General features: G+C 38.3%; 1 protein-coding gene and 1 pseudogene across 12 annotated transcripts in view, besides 2 other annotated features; one reads left to right on the top strand and one right to left on the bottom strand.

Moving 5' to 3' along the window:
* Positions 1-17,181, bottom strand: part of SCFD1 (sec1 family domain containing 1) — a 113,597-nt gene that overhangs the window by 38,085 nt on the left and 58,331 nt on the right. For 10 of the 12 annotated variants that reach the window (XR_007063993.1, NM_001283031.1, NM_001283033.1 and 7 more), the window contains one exon: positions 2,897-2,993. Coding sequence is in view for 9 of the 12 variants with exons in the window: in NM_001283031.1 (NP_001269960.1) it covers positions 2,897-2,993 (97 nt within the window). In the remaining 3 variants the exon portion in view is untranslated. Of the gene's footprint in view, positions 1-2,896; positions 2,994-17,181 lie in introns of those variants that run through there. The other 2 variants (XR_007063994.1, XR_007063995.1) reach the window with 1 other exon arrangement.
* Positions 4,662-5,221: an enhancer, noted in NCBI's record as "NANOG hESC enhancer chr14:31161751-31162310 (GRCh37/hg19 assembly coordinates)". NCBI's record gives its function as "activates a minimal SCP1, AML or CMV promoter by ChIP-STARR-seq in primed H9 embryonic stem cells {active_cell/tissue: H9 hESC(primed)}" and the evidence as "EXISTENCE:reporter gene assay evidence [ECO:0000049][PMID:30033119]".
* Positions 7,406-7,495: an enhancer, noted in NCBI's record as "active region_8226". NCBI's record gives its function as "activates an Ori minimal core promoter by ATAC-STARR-seq in GM12878 lymphoblastoid cells {active_cell/tissue: GM12878}" and the evidence as "EXISTENCE:reporter gene assay evidence [ECO:0000049][PMID:35858748]".
* On the top strand, positions 14,116-14,904 carry UBE2CP1 (ubiquitin conjugating enzyme E2 C pseudogene 1; annotated as a pseudogene).

Below are 17,181 nucleotides of genomic sequence, written 5' to 3'. Positions count from 1 at the left end.
CCTAGAATATCACACAATTAAGTTTTGTCTAATATTTCCTCATGATTAGATTTAGGTTATACCGAGGCAAGAATATCACAACAGTGATGCTGTGTTCTTTGCACTGAATCCTACTAGCCCTTTACCTCTCAGCCTTTCCTGAGCTCCTTCCTCTCCACAATCTGCTTAGTACTTTCCCACTATTTTATGTCTCTCTACTGACGACGTTCACTGTGGTTACCTAATAAGGTATTTATCAGGCTTCTCCACCGCACCGTTACTTTTTCTTACAGTTAATAAGTATTTTGTGGGGAGGTATTCTGAAACTGCATAAATATCCTATGAAATTTCAATTTATTCATTTATTATGTCCACATGGACTCTTGGCATCCTCTTTTATCAGTGGGTTATAATCTGTTATTATTTATTTTGATGCTCAAATTGTCATCATCTGGAGCCTATTCAAGCTGACTTCTGGGTTCTTTTGACAAGTTCCATCATTTTTGGAGTAGCTTCCTTGCCTTCTGACACAACAAAAATGTTCCAGACTCATTTTGTACTTTTGCTCCCTGCCCCACCTCTGGAATCAGCTACCTCTCCAAGGAGTCCTAGTGGAAACTGTATTTATAAGGCAGCATCTTTACTAGTTGGGCATTGCTGCTCCCAGGCCCTTTCAGTTGGCAGAGTTACGGAATACATGAGTATACACCGCCCCCCCCAACATACAATCTATATTTATTTCTGTATCTGAACAGATATATAGCGAAAACACTAAGTTCACACCAACACCTCTAATTCCAATCCAACACTACAGGGTTCATTCTAATTTTTTCCCTTTCTATATTTATAAATTCCTCCTCTGACAATGGGAAATTGGGCTTTCTTTATATTATCCAATATATTTATTTAGCCAGTCCCCTGTATATAACAAATATCCCATCTCTGCTTCCATGGGCTTGCTGCATGGATGCCCTTCTTACTTCACTTGAGCTCTGATTTCCTGCAGTGGACCCATCCACATACCTAGACATACGTCTCACCTCACCTAGGCCCAAGCTGGTTTGTTCCTGTGCAGGGGTCACCCTCCTCAATCTGTTATGGTTCTCACACACCTTGCTAGACTACTCCCACATGTGGACACTCTGCTTTCCTTTCCTGAACTTTGACATGCCAGATTACTAATCCTCCCTCTATTCCATGAGTGGATGCCCTTAGTCATCTTGCTCAGGTTCCAACATCTTATTCTGGACCGAAGTGGCACCAGACTGCTACTTTGCAAGAATGCCTACCTTGCTCTATCCTACTTAAATATCTTTAGGGATAAATCGTTTGAGAAAGGGGAAAGGAAAAAGCAGGACTGATTGCCTTTCTGTCAACATGTTTTTTTTGTTTCAACTTTACTCGAAAGTTACTGTAAATAACAAGGAATAGCTCAGAAATGATAGACTTATATAACTTTTTAAATTTCTTTCACTGTAAAATGCATATACCTTTAAAATGCTATGTTCTCACCACAAATCTAGCTTTCTAAAAGTGTGAGCAATACTTATGGCTTCTCAGATGTTTGTATAAATAGAATCTTTAATTATAAAACAGTTTGGACTTTTAAATTATTTTCTAATTTGGATTATAGTCTAAAATTCATACCAAAACTATAACTCAAAAACCATAATTATGCAGCTTAAATAGCTTATATGCAAAATGGGTCCTAGGCTTTCCATTTGTTTTGGAAAAAGCTGAGATTTGAATTCAAAACTATTGTGAAATGATCTACAGGTCTCTAAAGTTTAGGGAATTTCAGAGACTAAGACTCTATGTAGATCCCACAATCTTTATAATTAAAAACTACAATTGGATTACATTAAATTTTTTTTTTACTATTTTTGCCTGTGGTTTTTTTTGTTTGTTTGTTTTTGAGACCAGGTCTTGCTCTGCCACCCAGGCTGGAGTGCAGTTGTGCGATCTTAGCTTACTGCAACATCGTACTCCTAGGCTCAACGGATCCTCCCACCTCAGTCTCCCAAGTAGCTGGGACTACAGATGCATGCCACCCTGCCTGGCTAACTTTCTTCATTTTTTGTGTGTATATGGGGTCTTGCTTTATTGCCTAGGCTGGTCTCAAACTCCTGGGCTTAAGCAATCCTCCTGCCTCAAGCTCCCAAAGTACTGGGATTACAGGTATGAACCACTGTGCCTGGCCAGTCTTTACCATTGTTAAGTGCACAGTTCAGTGGTAAAAAATACGTTTATATTTTTTTGTTCCCTTCATCCCTCCACCTCTCTCCCTTTCCTGGCCTCTGGTAACTCTATCATCATAAGATCTACTTTTTAAGCTTCCACATGAGTGAGAACATGTGATACTTGTCTTTCTGCGCCTGGCTTCTTTTGCTTAACATATTGGCCTCCATAGATCATATTTTCTAAGTACAAATAGTTATATTTTAAGAAAATCTAACATACAAATATTTAAAGTGATTGGCCATAGAGTTCCTTTAAAAGTAAACTCCCTAAACATGTAAAACAGAATTTAGTTTTAGATACATCTTTTCAGGAAATTGAGGGTAGACCAAAGTAATTAGGAAGCGAATCACTTAGAGACACTTGCTTTGAATGTTATACCTTCAAATCTTCCTGGAACCAGCAGATATTAAGCTTTACATATATCACCTTAAACAAGTGAATATAAAATGTGCCTAAATACTATCAAATAAAAGTTCAATGAAATGAAATGCAAATTATTTTTCCACTGTAGGAACTGCTAAGTTATAAAATTTTACCAGAAAATAGCTCATTTAATTATCTTGATATTAGCATTGACTGTCAGAAAAACAACAATTCTATTCAAAGTTTACTCAATTGAAAATGCTGCTTTCGTCAGATATGAAACTTACATTAACCTCAAATTTTTGGTACATACCATCAGGGTCTGATATTATATCTAGAAGAGATTTATCCAGAGTAGTTTTGCTCATTATTTTTTCTTCATATTCAAAATATACATCCAATTTTCTTGCCTGTTTCAAAATAAACATTAGATGAGAATATATTAAGTCATTAAAATACATAATGATCTACTCACCTTATAAGTTTCTATTTTCTATGATCAATTTTAAGATATGTTCTTTCAGACAGGTCAAAAGTACAGTTCAGAAGTACCAGGCTGAAGTACAGTGGTGCAATCTCAACTTCCCAGGCTCATTCCTAACCCAGTCTCCCGAGTAGCTGAGACCACAGGTATGTGTCACCACACCTGGCTAATTTTTCCGTATTTTTTTTTTATAGAGATGGGGTTTTGCTATGTTGTGCAGGCTGGTCTTAAACTCCTGAGCTCAAGCAATCTGCCCGTCTCAGCCTCCCAAAGTGCGGGATTACAGGTGTGAGCAACTGTGCCTGGCTTTCATTTCTTAAAAGAATTTAAAGTGTCTTACTTTTGAATATATATTTAATATAGAAAAAAACCAACAGATTATTTTGTTTACCATATTTGATGGATAAATTCAGCAGTAATTCTGCATAACGTACATATATTAGCAAAGATAAAAACACAATTGTTACTTATTGTATTAATTAGTTACTGGCATACAAATCATATTGTACTCCATGCAAAATTCATGTCAGGTGGTCAAGTTATGTTTACTATTTTAGTGTGCAAATCCACATATATTCACCTTAACTAGATGGAAAGTTACCTTAAACTAAATTATTGTCCTTTTTGTTTTTTTAAAAAAACTTTTTCCTTATTAGTTTTCCTATTTAATATCTTGAAGTTTAAGATAACGGAAACGTAGTAAAACTTTGCTGTGTGAGACCTTTCCTAATTGAAAATTTTGTTGATTAAAATTATCCAAATAAAGTTAACATATTAAGATCCTCAAAAGCAAATAAAAATTATCAAATAACTCTTAAGTTATGCTTCAGATAATTCAGATACTATTGAGGGTGTTAATAATCAAGTGGGAGTAGAAACCATTCATGAAATTATAAAAACAATTTTTATAATTAAGGGTGTAAACAATCAAAGTGGGAGTGGAAACCATTCATGAACTATATTAGGATTTATAGTAATACCAACGTAGAACCAATATACAAATATACAACATAAATACATTATGCTAAAAGGCAGAATGAAATAAATAGCCAATTGAGGAGGAAGTGATATATTTTGAGTTGAAGTTTGAAAGTGATTTAGGGACATAGATATAGTTCATTTCAGTTAAACAGATCATGCCAAGGCACAAGGTAGAAACATCTAAACAGTAGACTAAGGAGTGAATTTGATACATGGAGCAACAAGAAATCAGAGTCATTTCACTGCTACTCCCTTGCAGTGGCACGCAAGGCCAAAGTTTTATAGATGAAATATCCAGATAGTTCAAAAATGAATACAACATAAAAAGACATATACTGAGAAGCCTTATTTTTCACCCCGTCCTCTTCCACCCCATTTCTACCTGCTTCTATAGGTATTTTCTTTTATTATTTCTTCTAGTTTTTTTTAGAGTTTCTTTGTGCAAATATCAGCAGAGTCTGTATTCTAATATCCGCCTCCTTTCTGACACAAGAAGTATGATACTGTACTTTTCTGCCCTTTCCTTTCACTGAACAATATATTCTACATCAGCATGTAGAGGATTCCCTATCAGTGAGCTCTTATCTATGAATTCTCCAGCCCTTCATATTCTTCAGACTCTCTGATATAGGAACTATTTTAGCTACTCTATAAAGCTAGTTTGAATACTAAAATTGATACACAGTAAAGTCCTAGAAATGAGAAAGTCCTACCAATAATACTAAAAATGAGCAAAAGAAATATGAGATTCTAGGAAAAAGGCCACAGTAGTGGCTGTGGGAATGGAAAGGACAAGACGGGTATTTAATAATTTACATGAGAAAGGATATGGGATACAAAGTAGTGAAAGAAGAAAAAGAAAACTTTGGGGAATGACAATGATGATACTAGGAACTGTTAATGTGAATATTAGCTTGGGAAAAGCTGTTATCTGCAGAGTGAAGTCAGGAATGGAAGGGGAAAGGTGCTAAAATAAGCTGTTAAACTAACTTTCAGGCCCTCTGATCCAGCTAACCTTTTCTGTTTTATCACTATTCACTAAATTCAGTTTCCGCTAGTCACATCAAATAGTTATTTCATTAAACTTTAACTTGTCATTAAATACTGTGTTTGCTTTTAATTCTCTAGTCTTAGGCTCAAGTTATTCTCTCAGCTTTTGCAGAATATATTCCTCCTTACCATCTACTCAGTGAATTCTACTCATTCAACGTCTACCTTCTCTGTAGCTTTTCTACAACTCTTCCTTCAATCCCTACTCTCTCCCTTTTCTGACCCTCTCCCAGTCTCCTCCTTGGCCAAAATAACTCATTACTCCCTTATCTGTGTATCAACAGCACTTTATACACCTCATCATAATAACAAAGATCACAGTATATTACTGTCCTTTGTTTATGTGTCTTTCTAAAACTGTAAACTCCTTAGAGCATGTTTAATTAATTGTTTAACCCTAGGAGTCTACCACCACCTGGCTTATAACAAGCACTTGCATTTGCTGAATTTCGAAACTAAGAACGGGGTGTATACAGACCAAGTAATCATTTTTAAAAGTCATAAAAATAGATGAACGAACTTCTAGAAGTGGAAAACGTAAAGAATCTAGTATTTTGTGACTGCATATGTAAAACTCAGTATGCTAAGGTGCAGTGGCACATTCCTGTAGTCCCAGGTACTTGGGAGGCTGAGGTGAGAGGATCGCTTGAGCCTTGGGAGTTTGAGACTAGCCTGGGAAACATAGTGAGACCCTGTCTATAAATAAATAAATAAATAAATAAATAAATAAATAAAGTATGCTAAATGCCATAGCAGATTCTAATTTCTGGAACTATATAAATCAGTAAAAAAACATGGCTCACTGACTTATGTAAGTACAGGCATTTGGTTCATTTTGCTCTTTTTGATGTAGTAACTTACTTATTAACATCAGCTTCTAATGAACAATGGAAATAGGGTCCAAAAACAACTTAATGTGATTGGTACTAGGTAGGGGGTTTCTTTTTGAGGTGACAAAAATGCTTTAACATTAGATTGTGGTTGCAACAACTCTGTAAATATCCTAAAATCCATTGAATGTTTTGTTTTAAATTGATGAATTGCAAAGTACGTGAGTTACATCTCAACAAAGCTGTTAAAAGTAACAGCCCTTTAATATACTGATTATGAGGGAGCACCATCCAAGAGGAAAAGGAGTGAAGTGCTATACAGATTTTCTAACCTGCATAAGAGAACTAGTATCTCTTCAAGGCACCTATCATGTGTAAGGCACTTTACTTACAACTATGGCTTTCAAGAGTTTTTAAAGAGAGAGCCTCAGGACCCTCTTTCTCAAACCAAATCTTCTACAGAACCCTAAACATAAAATAGATACAAGTGATCCATTAAATGTCTCCATACAGCTCTAGGGTACCAGAGAACAGTGTTCAAAAATTACTAACTTACATTATCTCATTTAATTCTCCAAATAACACTATGAGCTAGGAATTATTAATCTCATTTTAAAGATGAAGAAACAGACATACAGAAACATGTATTTGTTCAAGACTACCAGAGTAGAAGTAGTACAGAGTTGAGATCCAAATACAGGTCATACTCTAATGTATACCACAGAAAATAGGGAAAATTACACTACCCTCAAGAACGATTTTATGGCTTCCTTCTATAGGCCTTTTCTCAAATTCTTGAAATGAGAGAAAACACTAAGAGAAGCAACTTCTGTAATTCCAAAGATTAATCTTCTTCTACAACATGGGCTCAAAAGAGAATACAGTTTGGGTAATAAGAGTGACATAAAAAATGAACAAATTAAAAATATAAAACAAAATAACAAGGTCAAGATAATAAACTGAGATTCTTCAGTAGCTTCAATAAATATTAAGAATAAGTGGGCGAGGAGCCAAGATGGCCGAATAGGAACAGCTCCGGTCTACAGCTCCCAGCGTGAGCGACGCAGAAGACGGGTGATTTCTGCATTTCCATCTGAAGTACCGGGTTCATCTCACTAGGGAGCGCCAGACAGTGGGCGCAGGCCAGTGTGTGTGCGCACCGTGCGCGAGCCGAAGCAGGGCGAGGCATTGCCTCACCTGGGAAGCGCAAGGGGTCAGGGAGTTCCCTTTCCGAGTCAAAAAAAGGGGTGACGGACGCACCTGGAAAATCGGGTCACTTCCACCCGAATATTGCGCTTTTCAGACCGGCTTAAGAAACGGCGCACCACGAGACTATATCCCACACCTGGCTCAGAGGGTCCTACGCCCACGGAATCTCGCTGATTGCTAGCACAGCAGTCTGAGATCAAACTGCAAGGCGGCAGCGAGGCTGGGGGAGGGGCGCCCGCCATTGCCCAGGCTTGCTTAGGTAAACAAAGCAGCCAGGAAGCTCGAACTGGGTGGAGCCCACCACAGCTCAAGGAGGCCTGCCTGCCTCTGTAGGCTCCACCTCTGGGGGCAGGGCACAGACAAACAAAAAGACAGCAGTAACCTCTGCAGACTTAAGTGTCCCTGTCTGACAGCTTTGAAGAGAGCAGTGGTTCTCCCAGCACGCAGCTGGAGATCTGAGAACGGGCAGACTGCCTCCTCAAGTGGGTCCCTGACCCCTGACCCCCGAGCAGCCTAACTGGGAGGCACCCCCCAGCAGGGGCACACTGACACCTCACACGGCAGGGTATTCCAACAGACCTGCAGCTGAGGGTCCTGTCTGTTAGAAGGAAAACTAACAACCAGAAAGGACATCTACACCGAAAACCCATCTGTACATCACCATCATCAAAGACCAAAAGTAGATAAAACCACAAAGATGGGGAAAAAACAGAACAGAAAAACTGGAAACTCTAAAACGCAGAGCGCCTCTCCTCCTCCAAAGGAACGCAGTTCCTCACCAGCAACAGAACAAAGCTGGATGGAGAATGATTTTGACGAGCTGAGAGAAGGCTTCAGACGATCAAATTACTCTGAGCTACGGGAGGACATTCAAACCAAAGGCAAAGAAGTTGAAAACTTTGAAAAAAATTTAGAAGAATGTATAACTAGAATAACCAATACAGAGAAGTGCTTAAAGGAGCTGATGGAGCTGAAAACCAAGGCTCGAGAACTACGTGAAGAATGCAGAAGCCTCAGGAGCCGATGCGATCAACTGGAAGAAAGGGTATCAGCAATGGAAGATGAAATGAATGAAATGAAGCGAGAAGGGAAGTTTAGAGAAAAAAGAATAAAAAGAAATGAGCAAAGCCTCCAAGAAATATGGGACTATGTGAAAAGACCAAATCTACGTCTGATTGGTGTACCTGAAAGTGATGTGGAGAATGGAACCAAGTTGGAAAACACTCTGCAGGATATTATCCAGGAGAACTTCCCCAATCTAGCAAGGCAGGCCAACGTTCAGATTCAGGAAATACAGAGAACGCCACAAAGATACTCCTCGAGAAGAGCAACTCCAAGACACATAATTGTCAGATTCACCAAAGTTGAAATGAAGGAAAAAATGTTAAGGGCAGCCAGAGAGAAAGGTCGGGTTACCCTCAAAGGGAAGCCCATCAGACTAACAGCGGATCTCTCGGCAGAAACCCTACAAGCCAGAAGAGAGTGGGGGCCAATATTCAACATTCTTAAAGAAAAGAATTTTCAACCCAGAATTTCATATCCAGCCAAACTAAGCTTCATAAGTGAAGGAGAAATAAAATACTTTATAGACAAGCAAATGCTGAGAGATTTTGTCACCACCAGGCCTGCCCTAAAAGAGCTCCTGAAGGAAGCGCTAAACATGGAAAGGAACAACCGGTACCAGCCGCTGCAAAATCATGCCAAAATGTAAAGACCATCGAGACTAGGAAGAAATTGCATCAACTAATGAGCAAAATCACCAGCTAACATCCTAATGACAGGATCAAATTCACACATAACAATATTAACTTTAAATATAAATGGACTAAATTCTGCAATTAAAAGACACAGACTGGCAAGTTGGATAAAGAGTCAAGACCCATCAGTGTGCTGTATTCAGGAAACCCATCTCACGTGCAGAGACACACATAGGCTCAAAATAAAAGGATGGAGGAAGATCTACCAAGCAAATGGAAAACAAAAAAAGGCAGGGGTTGCAATCCTAGTCTCTGATAAAACAGACTTAAACCAACAAAGATCAAAAGAGACAAAGAAGGCCATTACATAATGGTAAAGGGATCAATTCAACAAGAGGAGCTAACTATCCTAAATATTTATGCACCCAATACAGGAGCACCCAGATTCATAAAGCAAGTCCTCAGTGACCTACAAAGAGACTTAGACTCCCACACATTAATAATGGGAGACTTTAACACCCCACTGTCAACATTAGACAGATCAACGAGACAGAAAGTCAACAAGGATACCCAGGAATTGAACTCAGCTCTGCACCAAGCAGACCTAATAGACATCTACAGAACTCTCCACCCCAAATCAACAGAATATACATTTTTTTCAGCACCACACCACACCTATTCCAAAATTGACCACATAGTTGGAAGTAAAGCTCTCCTCAGCAAATGTAAAAGAACAGAAATTATAACAAACTATCTCTCAGACCACAGTGCAATCAAACTAGAACTCAGGATTAAGAATCTCACTCAAAGCCGCTCAACTACATGGAAACTGAACAACCTGCTCCTGAATGACTACTGGGTACATAACGAAATGAAGGCAGAAATAAAGATGTTCTTTGAAACCAACGAGAACAAAGACACCACATACCAGAATCTCTGGGACGCATTCAAAGCAGTGTGTAGAGGGAAATTTATAGCACTAAATGCCTACAAGAGAAAGCAGGAAAGATCCAAAATTGACACCCTAACATCACAATTAAAAGAACTAGAAAAGCAAGAGCAAACACATTCAAAAGCTAGCAGAAGGCAAGAAATAACTAAAATCAGAGCAGAACTGAAGGAAATAGAGACACAAAAAACCCTTCAAAAAATCAATGAATCCAGGAGCTGGTTTTTTGAAAGGATCAACAAAATTGATAGACCGCTAGCAAGACTAATAAAGAAAAAAAGAGAGAAGAATCAAATAGACACAATAAAAAATGATAAAGGGGATATCACCACTGATCCCACAGAAATACAAACTACCATCAGAGAATACTACAAACACTTCTACGCAAATAAACTAGAAAATCTAGAAGAAATGGATACATTCCTCGACACATACACTCTCCCAAGACTAAACCAGGAAGAAGTTGAATCTCTGAATAGACCAATAACAGGCTCTGAAATTGTGGCAATAATCAATAGTTTACCAACCAAAAAGAGTCCAGGACCAGATGGATTCACAGCCGAATTCTACCAGAGGTACAAGGAGGAACTGGTACCATTCCTTCTGAAACTATTCCAATCAATAGAAAAAGAGGGAATCCTCCCTAACTCATTTTATGAGGCCAGCATCATTCTGATACCAAAGCCGGGCAGAGACACAACCAAAAAAGAGAATTTTAGACCAATATCCTTGATGAACATTGATGCAAAAATCCTCAATAAAATACTGGCAAACCGAATCCAGCAGCACATCAAAAAGCTTATCCACCATGATCAAGTGGGCTTCATCCCTGGGATGCAAGGCTGGTTCAATATACGCAAATCAATAAATGTAATCCAGCATATAAACAGAGCCAAAGACAAAAACCACATGATTATCTCAATAGATGCAGAAAAAGCCTTTGACAAAATTCAACAACCCTTCATGCTAAAAACTCTCAATAAATTAGGTATTGATGGGACGTATTTCAAAATAATAAGAGCTATCTATGACAAACCCACAGCCAATATCATACTGAATGGGCAAAAACTGGAAGCATTCCCTTTGAAAACTGGCACAAGACAGGGATGCCCTCTCTCACCTCTCCTATTCAACATAGTGTTGGAAGTTCTGGCCAGGGCAATCAGGCAGGAGAAGGAAATAAAGGGTATTCAATTAGGAAAAGAGGAAGTCAAATTGTCCCTGTTTGCAGACGACATGATTGTTTATCTAGAAAACCCCATCGTCTCAGCCCAAAATCTCCTTAAGCTGATAAGCAACTTCAGCAAAGTCTCAGGATACAAAATCAATGTACAAAAATCACAAGCATTCTTATACACCAACAACAGACAAACAGAGAGCCAAATCATGGGTGAACTCCCATTCACAATTGCTTCAAAGAGAATAAAATACCTAGGAATCCAACTTACAAGGGATGTGAAGGACCTCTTCAAGGAGAACTACAAACCACTGCTCAAGGAAATAAAAGAGGACACAAACAAATGGAAGAACATTCCATGCTCATGGGTAGGAAGAATCAATATCGTGAAAATGGCCATACTGCCCAAGGTAATTTACAGATTCAATGCCATCCCCATCAAGCTACCAATGACTTTCTTCACAGAATTGGAAAAAACTACTTTAAAGTTCATATGGAACCAAAAAAGAGCCCGCATTGCCAAGTCAATCCTAAGACAAAAGAACAAAGCTGGAGGCATCACACTACCTGACTTCAAACTATACTACAAGGCTACAGTAACCAAAACAGCATGGTACTGGTACCAAAACAGAGATATAGATCAATGGAACAGAACAGAGCCCTCAGAAATAATGCTGCATATCTACAACTATCTGATCTTTGACAAACCTGAGAAAAACAAGCAATGGGGAAAGGATTCCCTAATTAATAAATGGTGCTGGGAAAACTGGCTAGCCATATGTAGAAAGCTGAAACTGGATCCCTTCCTTACACCTTATACAAAAATCAATTCAAGATGGATTAAAGATTTAAACGTTAAACCTAAAACCATAAAAACCCTAGAAGAAAACCTAGGCATTACCATTCAGGACATAGGCGTGGGCAAGGACTTCATGTCCAAAACACCAAAAGCAATGGCAACAAAAGACAAAATTGACAAATGGGATCTAATTAAACTCAAGAGCTTCTGCACAGCAAAAGAAACTACCATCAGAGTGAACAGGCAACCTACAACATGGGAGAAAATTTTCGCAACCTACTCATCTGACAAAGGGCTAATATCCAGAATCTACAATGAACTCAAACAAATTTACAAGAAAAAAACAAACAACCCCATCAAAAAGTGGGCGAAGGACATGAACAGACACTTCTCAAAAGAAGACATTTATGCAGCCAAAAAACACATGAAGAAATGCTCATCATCACTGGCCATCAGAGAAATGCAAATCAAAACCACTATGAGATATCATCTCACACCAGTTAGAATGGCAATCATTAAAAAGTCAGGAAACAACAGGTGCTGGAGAGGATGTGGAGAAATAGGAACACTTTTACACTGTTGGTGGGACTGTAAAGTAGTTCAACCATTGTGGAAGTCAGTGTGGCGATTCCTCAGGGATCTAGAACTAGAAATACCATTTGACCCAGCCATCCCATTACTGGGTATATACCCAAATGAGTATAAATCATGCTGCTATAAAGACACATGCACACGTATGTTTATTGCGGCACTATTCACAATAGCAAAGACTTGGAACCAACCCAAATGTCCAACAATGATAGTCTGGATTAAGAAAATGTGGCACATATACACCATGGAATACTATGCAGCCATAAAAAATGATGAGTTCATATCCTTTGTAGGGACATGGATGAAATTGGAAACCATCATTCTCAGTAAACTATCGCAAGAACAAAAAACCAAACACCGCATATTCTCACTCATAGGTGGGAATTGAACAATGAGATCACATGGACACAGGAAGGGGAATATCACACTCTGGGGACTGTGGTGGGGTTGGGGGAGGGGGGAGGGATAGCATTGGGAGATATACCTAATGCTAGATGACACGTTAGTGGGTGCAGCGCACCAGCATGGCACATGTATACATATGTAACTAACCTGCACAATGTGCACATGTACCCTAAAACTTAGAGTATAATAAAAAAAAAAAAAAAAAAAGAAACAATTGCAACATACAGCATTGTGTTGGAGACTTTAAATATATTTTAAAAAGTAAAAAAAAAAAAAAAAAAAGAATAAGTGAGTAAAAGGGGAACATTCTAGACAATCAAAAGCACTATGCGTGGAATATAGATTATATATAATGAACATAAACTCTGAGAGCCATGCATTTCTCAAAAATCCTTTTAGAAGGACATTCTATGGGAGGAATCTCATTAAAAAAAAATTCTAGTGCTTTTCTCCAAATTTCAGTCATCAGGTAAACAATCAGACTGATTTTACATTCATTTTTCAGTACACTGCCTCAATTTATATTATATCAAATTAACATTAACATGCTGTGCGCACATACATACATATACAGATTGTGTAAGACATTTGACTGGCTATAGCCCACAGGGTTTGGAAAGAACAAAGGGAGCACTTTCTAAAACTAGTTTGTCCCTTCTCTCACCAAAAGGGAATAATCTTAAAACCTATCTGACGCTAAAGTTGGACACTGTGGCATGCACCTGTAATCCCAGCTATTCAGGAAGTTGAGGCATGAGGATCACTTGAGCCCAGGAGTTCAACAGCAGCCTGGGTAACATAGACTTGTCTCTAAAAAAGACTTATCTGAGAAGTACAGGTAAGTACACATCGTTTGCTTTTTGAAAATCCATAACCTGGGACATTTGCCAGACGACCAAGAAAGGACACAAAAGAAATTCCCTTTTCCTTCCTATAAGTAATTGCAGGGATTTTTCCTTCTTTTTACTATTTCTCTCCCCATTCTAGCTATAGACACTACTGTTCTGGAACTCCATTTGCTGCTAGCGATAATTCCCATTTCTTACCTCAGTCTAATGACTGGGTTGATGACCAAGTCTAGAGTGACACTTCTTGGCTTTCCCTCTTCTTCAGCCCCAATTCTATCCCCAATAACCATTCAGCAGTGAAAAGAAAGACAAGAAGGGAATAAAGAGTTATACCTCCTTTCTACCAGTAAGAACTCAATATTCCTTTCTCCCTACTTCTCAGGAGGTACAGGGAATGATAAACCTTTCTATGTTGCAATGCTATGTTAGGAATATTCCAGATTATGAATTAGATAGGGTTTGTGAGACAGAAATCTACCTACGACGTAATATCTATAGGAAAGTATACCCCCCAGTTGCAGTCATGAGCTCTCCCGAGTTCCTGTCTCTGCCAGCACCGCCTGGATGGCCTCCCAAAATTGCGACCCAGCCACCACTAGCATCGCAGCCTCCCACAAAGGAGCAGAGCCAAGCTGGGGTGCCGCTGGGGGTCCCATGGGCAAAACAACAGGAGCTCATGACTCATAATGTGTGGCAGCAAGGGCATTTCTGCCTTCCCTGAATCAGACCACCTTTTCACATGGGTAGGGGCCATCCATGGAGCAGCTGCCACAATATATGAAGACCTGAGGTATAAGCATAAGCTCTCACTAGAGTTCCCCAGTGACTACCCTTACAATGCACCCAGGTGAAATTCCTCACACCCTGCTACTATCCCAGTGTGGACACCCAGGGTAACATATGCCTGGACATCCTGAAGGACAAGTGGTCTGCCCTGTATGACATCAGGACCATTCTGCTCTCCATCCAGAACACTCTCCATCTCCAGCCTACTAGGAGAACCCAACATTGATAGCCCCTTGAACACACATGCTGCCAAACCCTGGAAAAACCCCACAGCTTTTAAGAAGTATCTGCAAGAAACCTACTCAAAACAGGTCACCAGTCAGGAGCCCTGACCCAGGCTGCCCAGCCTGTCCTTGTGTCGTCTTTTTAACTTTTCCTTAGATGGTCTGTCTTTTTTTGTGATTTCTGTATAGACTCTGTATCATGAGCTGTGATATTATTTTTGTTTTTGTCTTTTAAATTAAGCCTCAGTTGAGCCCTTGTGATGTATATTAAATAAATACATTTTGGTCATTAAAAAAAAAGTATATCTCAAGCTACAATGAACTTAGAACCAGACTTTTAGAATATCACCTACACCTAAGCTGAAGACTGTTTATATTCTAGCCATTCCTGTTTCTTCTTACTTCTTCACATGTTTAATTCCTGGCATCTTTCAGGGCTGTATTTGGATATCCAGGTGGGTAGCACCAGTAATGCTGCATTATAATCATCTATGGTTGGTATATGTCACTACAGTAAAAACTCCTTGAGACTGCTTGTTCATTATTGTATGTATAGTGCCCTGCAAGATAACTGGAATTCTCCAAAACTCAATTGCTTTGTATAATATAACAAAATAGCTGGTTAATTTATTTTCAGTTATTCAGGTGTGCATTTTGTTGCAATTCATACCGGTGGGTTTGCCACTATATGCATGGATTTGTCAATGTGAAAAATTATGTTACAAAAAATCAAGATGAACCATAAAATTGTATTTAAAGGTGTTCTATGATACAAGTGACTGAAAATATTTACTTGTTGGGTTTCCAAGCTACAATGAACTTAGCTCATGTGCCATAGTGACTTAGGAATCTTGAACAAAATTCATTTTACTTCTACCTCTCTTCTGTACACAGATGGGACAGTATACTATCAAGGTGAGAGACCAGCTTATTTCTTCAATTTCTACAACAGATTATCAATCTTACTAGTTGGTTATTTCATTTCCAAACATATGCATTTTTTCTCTCAACCAAAAACATTGAATTTCTAGCATTCCAGGACCAAATCAGAATGTATAACCTCAACTTGTTATCTAACTCCTATCAAAAGCCAAAATGAAAAAATGATATTATAGATTATTCAAAGAATATGCAATCTTTCCACTCTAGATAATAAAAATTCTATTAGTTTAAGAACAGGACATATACAGGGAACCATTAGAGGGCGATAGACTTGGCTACCTTGGTAACTCATAGAACTGCTCTCATTGAATTGTATTTAATATTATATCCCTGGGTTTCATGAAAGTTGCTATACGAAACAGTCACATGAAATCTATAAGGGTAACTGATATTAATTACTACCTCATTACATCACTTAATTTATTCTAGATAATGCCCAATATGAGCAATGTCTTTTGTAATGTGATGCTAAGAAATGGTTTGCTTAGAATAAAAAACAGAAAATCTTTCTGACAGAGGTTTTTTTATCTTAATCATCTCTCTCTTTTTTATCTTGGCTGTGAGAAAATTCAAAGCCAAATTTGAGAATTAACATTATAACTATTGAGCTTTTACTGAATTATTTGTGAGCTTTTATCAGATTGTTTTCATTCTATGTGCTATTTGAGGGAGCTGCCTTAAATCTGTTTTAGAATATGAACACAATATTTAATCTGTAAATTTATCCTATGTATTGACTTATGCTAAAAATATTTAAATTCAGACTAAAATGATCTATATAAAAAATTTAAAATGTACACAAAATGATCTTTATAGATGGCAAGTATAAAAAATATAAACAGAAGTGACCTTATTATCACGAAATACTGAAAACTGCTTTATGATATTTCCGTGGTATTTGTAAACTGTTGTCTTGTTTTTTATGGCTCTCAGAAATCACTTAGTTTTAATTTATTCAACCAGTATGTTGAGCGCTTTTTTTTTTTTTTTGAGACAGAGTCTCACTCTGTCACTCAGGCTGGAGTGCAATAGCACGATCTCGGCTCACTGCAACCTTTGCCTCCTAGGTTCAAGCAATTCTCATGCCTCAGCCTCCAGAGTGACTACAGGTGTGCGCCACCATGTTCAGCTAAGTTTTGTATTTTTAGTAGAGATGAGGTTTTGCCATGTTGGCCAGGCCGGTCTCCTGGCCTGAAGTGATCTGCCTGCCTTGGCCTCCCAAAGTGCTGGGATGACAGGTGTGAGCCACCGCGCCCAGCTGAATGTTGAACTCTTAAAAGATATACTTAGAAAAAGAACAGCAAGTTAAATCCAAAATAGGCAGAAGAAAATAAATAATAAAAATTAGAGCAGAACCAGTGAAATTAAAAACAGGACATCAACAAAGAAAAATCACAGACTATAGAGGTTCCCTTCTACTCTCTATTTTTTGTTATTTTTATTTTTTATGAGATGGGGGTCTTGCTATGTTGGTCAACTGGACTTGAACTCCCAGGCTCAAGAGATCCTCCCACCTCAGCCTTTGAGTGGCCAGGATTACAGGTGCATGCCACCAAACCTTGCTTAGTTGTTATTTTTCAGTTTAAATTATTCCTAATCCTATGGTTACTCCAAAGGGATTACAAA

This window comes from Homo sapiens, chromosome 14 (genome assembly GCF_000001405.40).
Source record: "Homo sapiens chromosome 14, GRCh38.p14 Primary Assembly".
NCBI lineage: Eukaryota > Metazoa > Chordata > Mammalia > Primates > Hominidae > Homo > Homo sapiens.
This window is presented reverse-complemented; position numbering and strand designations above follow the sequence as displayed.